The sequence below is a fragment of the Homo sapiens genome, chromosome 14 (assembly GCF_000001405.40).
Source record: "Homo sapiens chromosome 14, GRCh38.p14 Primary Assembly".
Lineage (NCBI taxonomy): Eukaryota > Metazoa > Chordata > Mammalia > Primates > Hominidae > Homo > Homo sapiens.
Window position 1 is genome coordinate 81297273 of NC_000014.9, and position 19594 is coordinate 81316866.

At 39.5% G+C, this 19594-nt stretch overlaps 1 protein-coding gene across 15 annotated transcripts in view, besides 2 other annotated features; it reads right to left on the reverse strand.

The window, feature by feature from the left end:
* Positions 1 to 19594, reverse strand: part of STON2 (stonin 2) — a 175814-nt gene that overhangs the window by 36621 nt on the left and 119599 nt on the right. The gene's annotated exons all lie outside the window — the stretch shown is intronic.
* Positions 6144 to 6288: an enhancer, noted in NCBI's record as "145 bp enhancer 109 fragment used in the MPRA reporter construct; PK_construct_3955". NCBI's record gives its function as "activates an SV40 promoter by MPRA in HepG2 cells {active_cell/tissue: HepG2}" and the evidence as "EXISTENCE:reporter gene assay evidence [ECO:0000049][PMID:23512712]".
* Positions 6211 to 6221: a transcriptional cis regulatory region, noted in NCBI's record as "NFE2L2 motif; enhancer activity is reduced when this motif is scrambled". NCBI's record gives its function as "necessary for full MPRA enhancer 109 activity {active_cell/tissue: HepG2}" and the evidence as "EXISTENCE:site-directed mutagenesis evidence [ECO:0005528][PMID:23512712]".

Here is a 19594-nt window from a genome sequence, read left to right on the forward strand (position 1 = left end):
GAGGTAAGTCTCCATTACCTCTATTTTAGTAAGGGGGGACACTAAGGCACAGAGGTTAGGTGACATGGCCAAAGTTACAAAGCTAGTAAGAGGAAGAGCTAGGATCTGAACCCAAGAGGTCTGAGTTGGCAACCCTTAGTCTTAACCACTCTGGTATACTGCAGCATTTGGACTGTAGCTCTACATTGTTAGAACTGTCCAATCTTGAGCAAATTTCTCAATTTCTGAGTCTGTTTCCTCACTTTTAAGGAGGATAATGATATTTCCTATGCCCCACAATATGGTTGTGAGGACCAAATAAGACATGTGAATGCTACTGTAAAATATGGCATGCTATATGATTTAAATTATTTTCATTATTACTGGTAAAAAATGACAAGGAGCACTTATTCATTCATTTTGAGGTTTGAGGTTTGTTTTGCTTCGTATAGTATAAAACTTTCTAACTTTAATAATCAATAGAAAGTAATAAAAATAACTGGCCAGCTGGGCACAGTGGCTCACGCCTGTAATCCCAGCACTTCGGGAGGCCGAGACGGGCAGATCACCTGAGGTCAGGAGTTTGAGACCAGCCTGACCAACATGGAGAAACCCCATTTCTACTAAAAATACAAAATTAGATGGGTTTGGGGCGCATGCCTGTACTCCCAGCTACTCGGGAGGCTGAGGCAGGAGAATCGCTTGAACCTGGGAGGCAGAGGTTGTGGTGAGCCAAGATGGCGCCATTGCACTCCAGCCTGGGCAACAAGAGCAAAACTCTGTCTCAAAAGAAAAATAATAATAACTGATATTTATTGCCATGCACATTAAGTACTGAGAAAGAGGAGAAAACATTCCTTCTATCAGGAATCTGTAATTAGAAAGAAAAAAAGGAGTCAAATAGAGCTCCTTGTGGGGGCTCTATAATTCCAGCGATGAAGCCTATTCTAGATGCGGGTGCCCTTCCAGGAAGGAGAAATGAGCTATCAAGAAATTGTGAATCTCCAGATAATGACTTCCTGTTCCACAAAAACAAAGCACAGCAGCTGGAAATAACAGTCTATCTCCAATCCCTATTCCACATCCTAGGGCTGTCATCCACAGACTAGTCTGAGGGAGGCTTCCTCTAGCTCCAGGCCTCTAAAGCCTCAACTGCTTCAGATGGGGGGGGGGAATCACAGAATTTAAAAGCCAAACTTACTAAGAATTACCCCTGAGCAAAGTCACCCTGGACTCAGACTCCATCTGTTGCAAGTCATTAAATTCCCAAGCGCGGCTGAAATCCCTGATCTATATACCTCTGTCATGACACACACAATCTGTTGGTGTTTATTTTCCTGCTCTGGTAAGTTCCCAAGGAAGAGAAACTACAGAAAAGCATGTTGAACAGAACCATGCTAGGAGTTTCATCCAGGAAACTGAAGTTGGGACAGATGAAAAAATGAGCACCTTCTAAAATTAAATGATTAAAGGATCAACAGAGAAATCCTTAGTCACCCACCACGAAATGGTTTGTGAATATGTTGCTCTCAGAGATTTAAGAAACACCCATATCCAAGCAAGGTGAGTTGGATATAATTTTAGAAAGACTTGGTAGAAATGTGTTTGAAGTGTATTAATCTGTAATCTAATTAATTATATAGAATTTTAAAACTTTTTAAAACACAATTCATCCATGTCACTAAAGAAATTTAGAAAATACAGACAAGAGAACGACATAAAAAGTACCCAAAGTCCCACCTCTACCACCAAAATAAGAGACATCTGTTTTGTTAAGAAGGTTGATAAAGGAAAAACTGAAAATAGCAACAGCCCAAAACACTCATAAGTTCTAGCCACATGGCTCAGATCAAGTGACACCAAACTGTATTTGGTACTAGAATCATGGTGGTCACTTTAAACCACATGCCTGGGCTTGTCTTAGGCAACTCTTCTGCATCCACCAGGAATATTGCAGAAGTTACCCATACATGCACAGAATTAACGTGTTATACAAACATATATGTGAGACTATCTCAATAAAGGTAGAAAAAGTATGGTAAAATTTAACTTACATTAACTGTAATAGTAATACTATTATCACCATACTAAGAATGGAAGGGAACTTCCTCAACCTGATAAAGGGCATATACAAAAAGAAAACCCTCAGCTAACATCACAATGGTGAAATATTGAAAGTGTTCCTCCCAGTCTCACCTATTCAGCGTTGTAATGGAGTCCTTAGGCATTGCAACAAGGCAAGAAAAAGGAATAAAAAGTAAAAGAAAGAGGTTGAGCCCTGTGGCTAACTTATGAGCATTTTGGGCTGTTGCTGTTTTCAGTTTTTCCTTTATCAACCTTCTTAACAAAAGTAAAAATAATTGTAAAACTGAATACAGCAAGTCCTCAGGATACAAAGTCATTCTTTAAAAACTCAATTATATATTAAAATACTAGTAACAAGTCAACTGGAAATAAGACCTCTAAAAATATTGTTTACTATAGCATAAAAATATCAACTACATAGAAGTAAACTTAATAAAAGATGTGTAAGGCCTCTTCACTGTTGAGAGAAGTTAAAGAAGGCCTAAATAAATGGAGAGATTTCATGTTCATGGATTTGAAAACTCAAAATTGTTAAGATGGAAAAAAAATTTTTTTTTTTTTTAAATTGATCTATAGAATCAATATGATTCCAATAAAAACTCCCAGGCTTAAAAAAATTTTTTTGATAGTTGGTCAATTTCTATCAAAGCCTATCAATCACCAAGACAATCTCAAAGAAGAAAAATGTTGTAGGACTCAAAACTACCAAATTTCAAGATTGACTATAAAGTTTCAGTAATTAAGACAATCTCATAGGAAAGATAAATAAGTTAATGGAACAAAATGAAGAGTGTAGAAGTGGACCCACGCATGTAAAGTCACTTGAGTTTGGGCAAAGATGCCATGGAATTCAAGAAAAAAAGTTCTCAATAAAACATCCTGGAGCAACTAGATATCCATACAGAAAAAGTAGACCTTTACCCTTCCTTCTCTCTCTCTGTCTAAAAATTAATCTGAAAGGGATCACAGATCTACAAGAAAGCCAAAACTATAAAGCTTCTAGAGGAAAACATAGAAAAATATCTCCATGACCTTAGGGTAGGCAAAAATTTCTTAGGACACAAGAGGCGCTAACCATAAAAGAAAAAATATAAATAAATTGTACTTCATCAATTTATCAAGACATCAGTAAAAAAGTTAAAAGGCAAGCCACTGATAAAAGAATACATAACTCCCAGAAATCAATAATAAAAATACAAACACCTCAGTAGGCCACAACGAAACTATATAAATGGCTAGATAGCACATGAAAAGGTGCTCAGCATCATCAGACACCAGGCAAGTACAAATTAAGCTATAATGAGATCCTAAATACTCCCATGATAATATCAAATGTGAACAAAGATGTGGAGCAACTAGGACTCTCGTGCGTCATTGGTGAGAGTATAAAATGGTAAAATCACATTTAAAAATGGTTTGGCAGTTAAAAATGGTTTAAATGATAAATTTAAACATTCACCTACTTTATGACCCAACAATTCTACTCCTATGTTTGTTCTCAAGAGAAATGAAAAATATGTCTACAAATAGACTTGTTCAAGAATGTTCACAGCAGCTTTATTAATAATAGTGAAAACCTGGAAACACCCCAAATGCCTATCAATAGGAGAATGAATAAGCAAAGAGTATCATATTCATATCATAGAATACCACTATAGCAATAAAAATAAAATGACCATTTATATATGCAACAACATGACGAATCTCATAACCATTCTCTGAATCTCAGAAGTTACTATTGCACCATCATTTCTCCAGGTTTGATTCATTCATTTAATCTCACACCAACCCCATAAGGAAGATATTTTTATCCTTCAGCTTTAATAATAGAAATAATTAATAGAGAAAAAATAATATCTAAGATTATATTCTCTCATTCAATATTTATTGAACATACTCTATTTGTTACTAGGCAGTAAACCATGTCCGAAAAACATAATGTCAGCCAAAAAAGACACAAGATTTAAACTCAGTCCTTCCACACTACACAACACTGCCAGGTCCTATGACAAGCTAAATGTAAAAGAAGGAATAAGACTTTGTCACTACCTTTAAGAAGTTCAGAGACTAGCAGAGGCAACAGGCAAATAAACCAACAACCACAATACAGCAAAAGCAATTACAATACAACACAAAGTGTTCTTATGGGTATATAAAAAGTGCTGTGTGAACCCAAAAGAGGAAATGACCAGTAATTCTGCCTGGGATAGTTGAAGCCAAACTGGCAAAGGAGCTGACATTTCAGTTGGGTGATATACTAGCAGAGAGAATGTCTGAAGACATTGAGACAGAGTGGAACGTGCTCAAGATTTGGAAGTAAATACATCTGGTTGGGATGCCAGCTCAGTATTCACATTTGTGAAATGTGAATAATTACTCAAAAACTTGAAGGGTTGTTGTGAGAACTGGAAAAAATACATGTAAAGAACTGAGCCCATGCAGAGGAAACTCCATTTTTAGTAGCTTTTAGTTTTTGAACAAATAACTGTTATTAGTCATATTGCCCAATATACATCTCCTATTGTAGATTTGTCAATCTCCAGAAATGCTTGCTTCTCAATACAATAATATTAAGTTTCTGAGGCTAAACAGCTTAAGCCTAGATCTTAAGCCCATGGTGATTTGCTAGCTTTGACCTCCCTCCTCACTTGAATATGACTCAAGCCCCAATGCATAACATGACACTGTGCACTGAGGGCAGTTGGCTGTCCCAATCAGAGTGGTTTATTAGAAGGCTGGAGGCGAGGACACAAAAACATCAGGACTAATGGGAGTAGTAGCCACTCTGGACTGTGCCTGTCTGTGGAAAACCATTTAGAACAGCATTTGTAAGCATGCACCATATCAGCTGCCCCTCTGTGCCCAGCTTACAGCAATACTCACTTTAATCAGCATCAGATACCCCTATCTGTCTACAAATTTCTGGAACAGAGGCTAACAATAAGTGTTAAAGTAGTCTAAGAGAGACAGTCTAATAAAGAAGGCCCAAAATGGCAGAACTTTCTCAATACACACAGGCTCTTCCTGTAGTGATGGAAAGTCTCACTTGGATCCAAGATTTTAATATAGATAACGAAATAGGCTCAGTATCCCTTCGGATGGTGCAGCAGGTTAGTGCTTCTGAATGTTAAAGCATTTATGCAACAACTCAGAAAGTGTTTGCAAGGCTGACTGGTTCTATACTGACATTTCTAGTCAAACTACACTCATTAAAGTAAGAGAATGACCATGGTGTCAGAATCCATAGTGGCAACTTCTGCTAATACACAGCTTTGCATATAAAGTTGATTGCATGACAAACTGATACAGAGGGTGTTTACATCATTTAATCATCAGAGAGGACACTGCAAATGTCTCCACAAGGAATACAGCATGTCAAGAGACAGCGGACTTGTGCTGTGCCACAAACAGGCTGTAGGGGACAGTGGGAAAATTATATAAGATCTGTAAGCCTCAGGTCCCTCACCTATCAAATGGGATAACGATGCCCTGCAGGATGTTGTGAGAATTACAGATGATGTGGGCAAGTACCTGACATGGTGCCGTACACAGAATGAACACTTAATGATTGTTTCTGCTATAATTAATGTAAGGCACTGCCATCTATAGTTTGGAGGGGCAGGAACAAGTAGAAAAATATTTGCTGAGTTGATTGCTTTTGTTAAATGGCTGTTAGACTGATTATATGGAATGGAGTTCAGTGAGGGTGTACATGTGTGGGGGGTGTGTGTGTGTGTGTGTGTGTGTGTAAAAGAGATAATGAATACAAATGAGAATGAGAATAAGAAAATGTGTATTGGGTGAGCAGAGGATAAGCAGAGAGAAAGAAGGGAAGAGACGGGGAAAAGTAGCTTTCAGAAGAAACATGTCTACCTTGTTAGTAGACCAAAATATTTGAAGGGCAAGCCTTCAATGTGTTATGTTGTTTTACTTTTACTCTGCTTTTAGTCATTATTATATGCTCCATCAGAGCCTGACACACAGCAGGCACTCAGTAAATATTTACTAAGTGCACACCTGGATCAAGCATTGTGCACACTTGCAGGTGTGGCTATGACTAAGCACAGAAAAAGGAAACCAACAGTGGTGGTGTGGGACAAGTGTCAAGCAGTGGCCCTGACAGGCAGAAGTGCCCTTTGCCCCAGTGGCTGAGTCATTGCGCCACCACAGTGACACACTGAAACAGGTTCCATTCACAACATCAATAATGACATGAGGTCATTCTTCCAACAAAGCAATGAACCCCAGAGAGAGGCTCCAAATCTTAACACAGGAAGGGTCTGCTTCCGTTTGTCACCCTCTTCCTCAGTGAGCAGATCAGGTACATGAAATATTTTACTGTCCCATCCTGGACTGGATTTTGCCTTCATTAACCCTATGACAACCCAAGGGGAGGTATATTTACAGTTTATATGTGAGGAAAATGAAACTCATAGAGCTTACATAACATGCCTATGGTCAAATATCAACCAGGTTTCGAAACCAATGCCCTTTTAACCTCCTTGAAGTAGAACGCATATACAGAAAAGTGCACATATCGTAGCTCCATATATTTTCACAGTTGAGCACATGCATGTAACCAGCACCCAGATCAAGAAACAATTGCCTTTGTGCTCCTGACCAACCTCTTCCCCGACCGTGAATAATGACTATCCTGACTTTTAACAACGGCATGAGTTTTGCCCAGAACACTCTAAACTACAGTAATCACTCCTTCCACCAAATTCCTCTGATTTTCTTATCGGCATCGCTCATTTGGAATTTCCCAATACTCTCTTGTAGAGTCAAATAGTTGTTCTTTTACGTATCTCATCTTTCTAATTATGATTAAAACCTCCTTGAGACCAGGGTTTTGTACATTTTTAGATTCCCCCACACACCTATTATGGAGGAGCCACTGTAAAGTGTATCTACTTAAGAGTTATTTTCTGGTTACTGTGTATCTGACACTGTTTCAAGCACTTTACGTGGATTATCTCCTTTGATCCTTTCAACAACCCTGTGAGGTAGGTACTGCTCTTATCTCCCTCTTACAGATGACAAAACTAAAGCACAAAAAAGTTAAGTAACTTGCCCAAGCTCACGCTGTTAGAGATGGAATCAGGGCCGGGCATGGTGGCTCATGCTTGTAATCCTAGCACTTTGGGAGGCCGAGGCAGGTGGATTGCTTGAGGTCAGGAGTTCAAGACCAGCCTGGCCAACATGGTGAAACCCTGTCTCCACAAAAAATATCAAAAATTAGCTGGGTGTGATGAAACAGGCCTGTGATGAATCTCAGCTACTCAGGAGGCTGAGGCATGAGAATTGCTTGAGCCTGGGAGGCGGGGGTTGCAGTGAGCCAAGATCGCGCCACTGCACTCCAGCCTGGGTGACAGAGTGAGACTGTCACAGGAAAAAAGGAAGGAAGGGAGGGAGGGATGGAATCAGGATTCAAACCCAGGCATTGTTACTTTAGCCTTTCTTGTTATTCTGTTTTTTTGGCAAACTTTTTAAAAAGTATAAAATACACAGAAAATAACATAAATCATAAGTTTAAAGTTCAATAGCTTTTTACAAAGTGAAGACATGTAGGTAATTCACTATCTCAAAAGACAGATCCCCAGAAGACCCCTTTGTACCCCCTTCCTATCACTAACTACCTCTTCCCCCAGGGTAACAATTATTCTGACTCCTAACACCATACTGTAACGTGCTTGTTTTTGAACTTAGATAAATGAATTCATATAGTATGTTCTCTTTATGTTCATGAGATTCATTCATTTCATTACATGTGATGTGTTAGTTTGCATTTCTGCATCGTATTCAATTGTGTGAATGTGACACAATTTATCCATGTTAGTGTCGATGGACATTTGAGAGCCAGGCTTCTATGAATATTCTTGCACATGCCTTTGATGCACACATGCTTGCTTCTGTCTTGGGTACTCAGGAGCAGAACTGCTCTCTCACTGGATATGCAAAGCGACTATGCCAATTTACACTCCCACCCACTGTGTATATGTGTTCTGGTTGTTCTACATTTTTACCAACACTGGATACTGCCTGTTATTTTCATTTGAGCTATGACGGTGGGTGTGTGGTGTGTTATATTGTGGATTTTACTGAACTTTCACTGATGAACACTGAAGGTGTATACCTTTTCATATGTTTATTGGCCATTTGGATAGCCTCCTTTGTGAAGTACCTTTTCAAGGCTTTTGTCCATTGGGTGGTCTGCTGTCTTCTTGTTGATCTATAGAAGTTTTTTTTATATATTCAGGATTTGATTTCTTTGTTATTATGTATTTATTGCAAATATCTCCTCCTCTTATGCTGCAGCTTGCCTTTAACTTTCTTAATGGTGGCTTTTGCTTAATAGACATTCTTAATTTACATGTGGTTTAATTTATCAATTTTTTCCTTTATGGTTAGTCCTTTTTAAGTCTCGTTTAAGATATATTTTTAAGGGACTTACCTTATTAGAGATTGACTGGTGGGATTGTCAGTTAAGGTTCCTCACCCTGATGTAGTCACATGCTAACCCAAATCAATGCAAAACTTTTCGCCTGGTATTTGGTTCTTTTGGAAAATGAAAATGAATCTGAAAATGGTTGTTGCTCATTCATGAAGATAGTGGTACTCAGCAAAAACCAGCTATAACTCCTTGCCAGCGACCCAAGAGCTGATCTAGCTCTGGCCTTTTCTGAGCTTGGCCTTTCTGCTTGATTATTTAACTTCCCCTTCAACTCTGTGAGCAGCCCCCACCCTCAACTTGCAATACACTCTCCTTTTTAATTTTTTTTAATTGCAACCAAAGAATCCTATTGATTCTTTTAAATCTCTCTCTCTCTCTATATATATATATATATACACTCTATTTTATATATACACACACATACATACTCTTTTTTTTTTTTTTTTTTTTTTTTTTTGAGATGGAGTTTCACTCAGTCGCCCAGGCTGGAGTGCGGTGGTGTGATTGTGGCTCCCTGCAACCTTCACCTCCCGGGTTCAAGTGATTCTCGTGTCTCAGCCTCTGAGCAGATGGGACTACAGGCGCCATATGCTCTATTTTTTTTTAAGAGATGGAGTTTATGTTGTCCAGGATGGAGTGCAGTGGCAATTCACAGGTGTGATCATGGCATACTACAGCCTGGAACTCCTGGGCTTAAGTGATTTTCCTGCCTCAGCCTCTCAAGTAGCTGGGACTATAGGTCTATGCCACTGTGCCTGGCTGATGTTCTCTATTTTAATATATGGCACTAAGCACAGAGTTAAAGTCTGATCAGTCACACTGTTCAAACAAGAAATTTCACCTTCACGGATTTCAGTCCTCATCCTTTCACGACTGCAGGATGACTTCCTGACATCCCCAGAGATGGTTCTGCCTTGACACCACATTAGGAAAAACAATGGCATTTTCATCTCATTGGCTCTTAGGGAAATAAAGAAGAGGAAATCCAGTTAAAACTGAGCATCCTCCAATAAAGCAGACAATTAAAAAAATGCAATAGGACATTAACCCTTTAACAAATTAGCAAGCAAAGTCAGCTCTGCAGCTGTGCCCAAGCAGGATAATTACTATCTTTTTTAGTTGGCACTATAGCAACAAGCACTGATTATTTAAATGGGGAGCAAACAATAATTTGGGTGGAATATCATTTAAATAATGAGCACTTCTAAAAGTCAAGTTGATCATGAATAGCAAGCATGGGGAGGTGCACACCTATAGAAACTCTGACTGTTATAACTGGAAGGATGTTTGGGGAATCATCTCAGTGATCACTCCCTTAGATCCTCTACATTTCACAAGATATGAGCACAGGCCAGAATTAACAAGAGAAATTTAAAAAACACACAGAAAGAAATTACACCTTCAAGTGAGTCTAAGCTGGTGAGCCGTGCACAGATTGCACTGATGCAATTATAACATTAGGCATTTCTGGATTGCATCTTTTGGAAGCATTTCAGAACGGTCAGTGTTGTCTTCAGCATGAACTAAGCAGTAGAAAATCTTCATTCCTTGAGGCTGATTGAGTGTAATTTTTCAAAACAGTCAAAACTCACTTGGACTCAAAGCTAGTGAGTAAATTTCTATAAATTTATTTTCTTTTTAAAAAAGGGACAATACAAAACAGTATGTAAGAGCCTGGGCTTCAGAGTTAGAGAAATCTGGAATCCAAATGTCACTGGCTGGTGTGTGATTTTGAATAGAAAAGCCTAGTTGAGCCTCAATCTTCTTGTAAATGAGAAAGAATTAATAGTCTACTGTTGACACTTGAACCACAGGGGTTTGAACTGCACTGGTCTGCTTATATGCAAATTTTCTTCTGCCTCTGCCACCCCAGACAACCCCTCCTCTTCCTCAGCCTACTCAATGTGAAGGAGACGAGGATGATAATCCACTTACACTTAAGGAACAGTAAATATATTTTCTCTTTCTTATGCTTTTCTTAATAACATTTTCTTTTCTCTAGCTTACTTTATTGTAGGAATGCAGTCTGTAGTGTATATATAACACAAAAAATATGTGTTAATCATTTTATGTTATTGGTAAGACTTCCAGTCAACAGTTGGCTATTTTAGTAGTTATGTTTTTGGGGAGTCAAGTTATATGTGGATTTTCTACTGCTTGGGGGTGGCATTCCTAACTCCCATGTTGTTCAAGGGTCAACTGTATCTGATGGGCATGGTTGATAATCAGATAATATATCTGAAGCTGTTATATCTTTATCTTTTATTAGGACACAGAAGCTAAAGGAAAATGGCTTTTGTCTATTGAATATAAATGGGTTCTGAAAGGACTTCCCAAACAGAAATGTATGTTTGAAACACTGTCATTACGCTTACCTGCTCTGGATTTATGCAATCTAGCTCAGACTCAGAAATTATTATTATTTATTTTTTTGAGACAGAGTTTTGCTCTGTCACCCAGGCTGGAGTGCAGACGCGATCTCAGTTCACTGCAACCTCTGTCTCCTGGGTTCAAGCAATTCTCATGCCTCAGCCTCCCAAGTAGCTGGGATTACAGACACCCACCACCATGCCTGGCTAATTTTTGTATTTTTAGTAGAGACGGAGTTTTGCCATGTTGGCCAGGCTTGTCTTAAACTCCTGACCTCAGGTGATCTGCCCACCTCAGCTTCCCAAAGTGCTGGGATTACAGGCATGAGCCACCGTGCCCAGCCTAGAAATTATTTTTAAAAGAACACTGAGCAGACAAAACCTAACCCCAGAATTCTACATGCTGAAGGTGGGGCATTTATTCAAGGGTATCCCTCTTGGCGTCTAATAAGGCCTGGCCACTCATGCTACAACTCTACGTCCATCCCTAATAACCCATGGGCAGGGGAGGGAGCAAAGAAGAGAGGGCAGCTTTTGGTGCAAGGGAGAATAAAAGAACTGAGGGAGGAAACAGAAATTCTCAAGAGACAACCAAATTCACCCAGAGGACATGGTTTTACCCATATATATATATATATATATATATATATATATATATATATATATGTGTGTGTGTGTATATATATATATATACACATACATACATACATACATACATACACTAAAGGGTTGTGGCAGGATTTGAGACAGAAAGGCTGCTTTAAAAGGCTATGTCTTCAATATTCTCAAGGGCAGGGAGAATAGGCTGGGCTTCTGATAGGAGTGCTTTATTTGGTTCAGCAACTAGATTAACCTTTCCCTGGTGTTTGCCTAAAATCTTGCTTTGCCCTGCTTCTATGAGAATGGAAATAGGTTGTCAAAATTCTATAAAAAAAAAAAAACTCGTTATTTTGACCCATGAGCCTCAGTATCCTTATCAATAAATGAGGGAAATCATACTTAACTCACAGTACTGTGCAAATTAAATGAGATCTCATGACAAGCATTAATTACACTGGCACATGGCAGCTACTTGACAGGTAACAGTTATTGTTATTATTGGCTTTAAACAAACAAGGAGGTACCAAATATTAGATCTGAACTATTAAAAAAAAGATAATCTATAAAGAAAAAAATTTAGTCTAGTCTGTATAATTCTAGAATTTGCTAAATCTTGGTTTGAACAATATCTATTATATCTTGAATGTATATTTATTGTCTCCAAATACTTTCTCTATGCCTTCTCATTTATTTACATGTACTTTAAAATTTTACTTAGTTATGATAATTTTTTAAATCACTTAATTATCCTTGAGAAAATCTATTAATAAATCCCTAGGTCTAGTGCTCTGCAAATCTGATCCTTCCTTGGAATTGCAGAGCTAGAGCATGAGGTTTCACTACGAAACACTCTAGGCAATCCCTAGAGCCATGTATGTAGCTCAGGAATCTTATTTTGTTTTGATCATGATTATGTATCTAAGGGACAGGGTTTGGGGAGGAGCTATCCTAAAGAGGGAAAAAACAGGAACCATTCTTTCTGTCATCATTGCCTCTTCCAAATAATAGGCAGGCATGTATTTCCTGTGGAGAGTTAGGGATAACGTACCAAAGACAGGAAGAGACTGGGCCAAAGGTGGTGGTATCTTATTTGAGAATCCTCTGCACAGATGACCACTCTTACATTTCAAAACAGCAGCTTTCAAACAGTTTTATGTTCATGGTCACTTTGGAAGAGTAGCAGGTCAAGAGATCATATATGCAGGACTCTGAATTAGAGCTGGGAGACCTCCCCTTCTGCCACTCAGAAAATTCATTATTTAATACCCCAGGAATCAATTTCCACACTTTAAAGTGAGGGGGCTGGATTAGATGATCCTGAATTCATCTTGTCTTTAAAACCCTAAAATTCATATATATTCTTCTTCTACTTTATATTATGAAAGACAACGGTGTAAGTCACCCAACTTTGGCCAGAATGAGTTAAGAATATTACACTGCTTTTGATAAGACACAAATAAAAGACATAGTAAAATAAAAATTCACATTAAAGATAAAATGTATGTAAATATAGTACCATCCTGCAGTCATTGCCAGGAGAGCTGCCTGCTTGTTTTGTGATGTGCCTGCTTGTCATACACTTCTTCTCTTGCACAGAACAGTAACTGTGAACCCTCAAAATGGGTCATTTAATTTCAACCTATGAACAATTAAGACAAACTAGAGGTGCAGATAGATGGACCAGTGTGAGCAGCATCTCCTCCCCATTCAATGTGGTCAACATGTGAGTGGCTGGCAGCATTAGGAATAGGCAGTAAGGTTTACGTAAGACTGAGAAGTCTAATTGCCCTCCAAATAGCTGAGTATCCAGATGTTATTCATGAACTAATTATGGCTAACATTTATTGAGGACTTACTATATTCCAGGCCCTAAAATCATGTTTTATATACACATCTCATTTAATATTCAATTATCTCTCCTATTTTGTGTATCAGGATACGCTGCTGCATTGCACTGACATCTCTTTCACGGCAGAGATGGACAGGAAACCTCCTGTTTCCTCTCCCCATGCCCTCTTTCCAGGTCCAATGATTCACATTCCTTCCCCTCAAGCCTGAAAGTCCAGAGGGAATGGAGCTTTTAGGAAGTTTGATATTTGACCTTTGACTTTTCATAGGTGTTTTCCTCTAAATGCAAAGGCCTTTGACTTTTCATAGGTGTTTTTCTCTAAATGCAAAGGATTTGAGGACTATGTCTCTGTCTTCTATGGTGAGTCAACGGGTGCCACTGATATCCCTCGAGTACTTGTTCCCTATTAGGCATCAGTGCACAGGGTAGGTTTGAGCTAGGATTTGAGCTAAAAGGCAAGTATATGGACTTGGAGAAGACGGGAAAGTAAGCCTGGGACTTAGATGACCACTTCTTGGACAATAGAGCTGAATTTATATTCTTTTTTGTATTGCACCTAGTATTATACCCAGCCACCAACAGGTTAAGAAGCAGTATAATATACCAGAAAGAGCAATGGAATAGGAGGCAGGAGAAGAGTATGGGAATAGGTCTCTATCACCCTCATTCCTGCCTAATCATCTCTGCTTTGCTCTGCTCTGCTCTGCTCGCCTCTCTTCCTCACCGAGGCTCCTCCTACCCCAGCAGAACCCCTGATGTTGAGAAGCACCAGATGTCACAAGGGGTGTTTCTAATTTGAGAAGGGTAAAGGAGAAAAGAAAAGGCTGAATATCTCTTCAAGATATTATTAAATACAGTAACAATTTTAAAAATCATACGATGAGCCAGGTACTGTACAAAAGAAGATTTCTTAGATGATCTTATTTCCTTCTCACAAGAATCCTATGACAGAGACATTCTATTAACTCCACATAAAATTGACGAAAATGAGGCACAAGGGTTAAATAACATCGCTGCTAGTTGTACAGTTAGGAAGTGGCAGAGCTGAGATTTAACAGAGGCTTTGCCACTGAAAAGAAAGGGATTTGCTTTAGAAATAATTCTGTTAAAATGTTATTTATTTCCCACAGGTCTAGAAAGAAGCAGATCCCTAGAAAACAAAGAGAATGCTTATAGGAGACTTTCTCTGGAAACGAGTCAGGGGATATGAGATAGGAAAGCACTACATTCATACATATTACTTCTGTTTTGCATATTTTTTAAATGAAGGTTGGCCAATTAATATTGCCCAATGAGACATGTGAGCCTTATGGTTTGGCTGCTTGTCAACCCAACACAATTATTTCCTGATCTTTAGCCAACACGGCATGTCTCTTCATCAGTAAGTGAATAAGCAGAATGGACCTGTGTGTGTGTGCACATGCCCACGCTTGTGTACGTAGCATGTGTGCAGCATAGGTGTAAAGCCTGCAGGCACACCTTGCATTCTTGACTAAAATTCCTTCTCCCTCATAAGAAGAGAGATTACATGATTGTCTTAGTCATTTTCTTTTCGTGAAATGGTTCTGGGATGGATAGAGTCTGCTGGGATCTAAGCTCCCAACTGGACCAGGCAAGCATAAAAAGGCAGGCTACTAACACCCACTGTGTCTGTGGGTGCTGGCAAGAAGGGAACCTCAGATAACTATGCAGAGAAAGCCTGACTTTGGCCATTAAAGCTAAACACTTAGGGAGAGGAGTCAGAAAAACTTTTACTGGTCTTACCTGCCCATACTCTCTTATCTACACCTGTCTTCAAGGTAACGCAAAGAGGCTACTTCACTTCTTGAAGGTGGAGAGCTTATGCTTTCTACTGAAACTTAATTTACATAGTAAAACTCCCCTGAACTACTTCCTCTATAAATTGCAAACTCAGAAAGAAGAAAAGAAGTTGTACCTTCTAATTCAATCAACTTCCCCCTAAGTCTTCTGTACCTAGCAGATGAACGTCCATCACACCTCCAACCTAAGGAATTCTCCCTCTTGCCTCCCAGCATCTAGACTTAGCCTAGCTGCTTAAAATCAAATTGCCCTTCATTGTTTAAACATAACTGATGTAATGGCTAGCTCTGGTTTCATGATGCATTTGCTTGTATTGACCATAACTACTGGTTTGCAGGAACCTGCCAATCCTTTTGAAAACTGGTAATTTTTTGAAAGCAAAATATTTTATGCAATTCAGACCACTTTTTGTATGCACGTAATCATATTTTGGTAGCAAATTCTTTGTGCTATTACACAACGATGCCGGTAAGAATTCTATTTAAGAAACACGTCCTTGCTTGTAAGGCTCGGCAGTCAAAAAAGAAGGACCCTTACAGGCAAACTAATTAAAAGGGCAAAGCCCCGTGTTTTCATTGCTCTTCTTGTCATTGTCCTCCTTGTACTCCTCCCTTCCTACCTCTTTCTTTCTCTTTCTGTCTACAATTTCCATTCTACATACTATCTACTATAATCTCCTTCCAGGGCCTGGCCTCATTCCGTGGTTTCTGTCACAAAAGACTTACCAGTCCAGGCAAGGAAAATCAAAACCTATCTAGTGATTAGATCAAAGACAAGAACCCAGGGAGTTTTGTTTTGTTTTAATTTCCAGTAGCATATTTTGGGTCTTAGAGGTAGATAATAAAGGAAGAGAAGAAAAACAGAGAAAGTAAATCTTAAGATCCTTGAGGACAGAGACTGCAATATAATCATCTTTAGACTCTCCATAAAGCCTGACGCAGCACCTTCTGTCGTTTAGTGAATGTTTACTGCATGACTCCTACGTGCAGATACGATGGTGAACAAAACAGATTGGGTGCTTGCTTCACAACTCTTCAGTCTCACAGTGAGAAAGAAAATTGATTAAAAAAAAAAAGCCAGGCCAGGCAGGCGTGGTGGCTCATGCCTGTAATCCCAACACTTCGGGAGGCCGAGGCAGGTAGATCACTTGAGGTCAGGAGTTTGAGACCAGCCTGGCCAACATAGTGAAGCCCCATCTCTACTAAAAATACAAAAATTAGCCAGGTATGGTGACGGGTGCCTATAATCCCAGCTACTCAGGGGGTTGAGGCAGGAGAATCGCTTGAACCCGGGAGGCAGATGTTGCAGTGAGCCAAGATCGTGCCACTGCGCTCCAGCCTCAATGACAAAGAGAGACTCCGTCTCAAAAAAAAAAAAAAATACACACACACACACACACACACACACACACTAATGAAACAGATCATTCATTACAAAGTGTGGTTAAGTATGATGAAAGAAAATAACAGATTTATTAGGGAACATACTGTGGGAGTCCTGATCTAGCCTGAGGTTCAAGGAAGGCTTCCCTGATGAAGCAATACTGAAGCAGAGAGGTGATGTGGTGTGTGACTAAGAGTTAGGGAAGAAGTAAGCGACAGAGCCTTCCAGTGCCTTGCAAATTGTAAGACTTCAGTGAAGCAAAGCCTGTGCTACTTTTAAAACAACTGCTTTTTCACATGTAGGAAGAGATGTAAGACAAATCCTGGAAATCTCATCCAAGTCTTTCATTTTACATATAGTGAAATTAAAATCCCCATATGAGCTGGCCAAGGCCACTTCCTGGTAGGACCAGATGTCCAGGCTTCTGGTGCCCAACCCAGTGCCCTTTTGACTACACTGGCACAAGAACGGCAGTTTCAGTGGCCACACAAACTTCAAGGCAGTGATGGGGGCCCTTGAAATTTATACAAGATGAAAGGGTTTATCCTATATTCAAATGGTCTATAGTGGGATAAAGATAAAAGCTTTGAAAAATTGAATTCTGTGCTGTTTGTGAAGAAAGGCTCAATATGTCCAGGTTATTTTTGACAAGATGTATTTGTAAACCAGCAACAAAGAGTGAACCAGGCAGATTTTCCTGCCAGCACGCAAAGTGAAAACAAGATGTAGATGTCATCATGGTACTGTGGCAAAGTGATCCATCAATCCAAAGTGACAGTTAAGGCCTATTGATTCCATGCATTAACCCAGCAAGATCCACAATTAGCCCTAAGCTCTGATTATCACCACACCTGAGCCTTCCCTGCCACTTACAGAGATCACAAGAAACAGGCCTGAGTAATAAGCTAGGCATTTTATTACATGCTGTGAAGCCCCCTGGGAACATAATACCATTTAAGCAACTTTCCTCTGTAGCTTCCTCATGTTCTTCTCTTTACAACACTGCTACACCAAATAAAAATAATACCTCTTTGTTTTTTTTTGTTTTGTTTTTAGAGACGGGGGTATTACTCTGTTGCCCAAGGTGGAGTGAAGTGGCATGGCTCACTGCAGCCTTGAACTCTTGGGCTTTAGGAGTCCTCCCACCTCAACCTCCCAAAGTGTTGGGATTACAGGCGTGAGCCACCATGCCTGGCCTAACACCTCCATTTTGCATTCTTGGTTAGCTTTTCCTTCTCAGTAAACAACGAAGATACAGAGTTGGTTAGAAGAATGGTAAATGCAGAGGAAAACCTACATTCTGGTCCATTCTGGCACCTCCAAATTTAGAAGTGAACACAGGCAAGAGTTTTTACTATCACTCTATTTGCTAAGCAATAATAGTAAGAGAAAGTTTTTGAAATGTTGCCAGGGGTTACATCTCAGAAGAGAGGCCTCGTTTAGAAGACAGAAAAAGATGCTACCAACTACAGATAAAACCTCAATTCCTTCCTCACTCAACACCTCTTCAAGGGACAAAAGACTGGAAATGTCCCTCAGATAAAAACAAGATCTCTCTCTGCCTTTCCATGATTCTTAGCCCCTGCTTTGTGCTGTCTCTTTGTCTCCAAAAAGAAGCTGCTTTATTGAAACATCATAAAAAAAACAGTGGTCCCCCCAGACAATGAAGTCGCCTGCACGCAGGCATTTCCAACGTAGGCAGGTGACGATACTGGCAGAATTCTCAACCTGTTGCTATAGTAGCAGAAAGAATGTGATTCCAGCAGCTCTGCTGAGATCCATATCCAAATCCCTCCTGCTCCCGCAGAGAACATTAACCCTTCACTGTCCTTTCTCAGGGGCAGAAACACCTGGGAAGAATCCCAAATTTTTCTTATGAGCTGGGTGCTGTAGTCTTAGCATTTGCTCATTCACTCATTCAATACCTACTTAGGCTCTATTATGCTGGCTCCCAGGTTTTAAGTGGTAAACAGAGCAGACATGGCCCTTGGCATTGAGCAAGAAGAGGAGGAGGATATGAAATTATTGCTCAAACAACAATATATTATGTAGCATCCATGTATACGGGAGACAATATGATATTTACAGCAAAAACGTCACCAGAAAGGTAACAACCTATCCAAGATAACCAGCTTATCTATCAGTTGGAGCAGACCCTATATTTTCTGGGCCATTATAATTATTTGATTGTTTGCAATGTGTTAATTGGAGAAAAATACCAATAAAAATGCCTGCTCCAATCATATCATGCCTCCTACAAAACATTAGTTAAAACACGTTGTTTAACTACACAAATTTTTTCACATAAAACAGAAATAGTATAATCTGTCAGGGAACCACTGTTGAACATGAGGTTATGATCCCTCATTTACAGTCACCAAGCAACAGAAATGGCAGGTGAGGGCTCAGAAAACATGTAAAAGCAGCACAGTCACAAAGACTTTGTGAGAACTTCTAAATAGTCTCCTCGCCGTCTATTTCAGTGGTCAGGGCAGTAATGAAGAAACTTCAGGAAATGCAGTTTAGGAATGACCTATAATCCAGCTTACTTTCTCTAACATTGTGGTATGGAAATCTCACATTGTTAAACACCTTCCTGCTAGATTTCCTTTTTTCCCATGGAGCACAAATAGTAGGGAGGCGGGGTTTCTTAGGAAGATCAACTCAGTAAGTAATGCTATACTCAGTAAGTAATGCTTGTTTTGGGAAACAAGGTACTATCAGCAGATTGCCAAGAAAAAGCTGAAAAAACAAGAAGATAGGTGGCTAATCTCAGTTGGCCATTAGATGTGATCTCAGGAAGGTTACATAATCCTTTGTACTTCAGTTTCCTCACAGGTAAATTTGATACACCACAGTGTTAGTTCATTTTGCATTGCTACAAAGGAAGACCTGAGACTGGGTAATTTATAAAGAAAGGAGGTTTGGCCGGGCGTGGTGGCTCACGCCTGTAATACCAGCACTTTGGGAGGCCAAGGCGGGTGGATCACGAGGTCAAGAGATTAAGACCATCCTGGCTAACATGGTGAAACCCCGTCTCTACCAAAAATACAA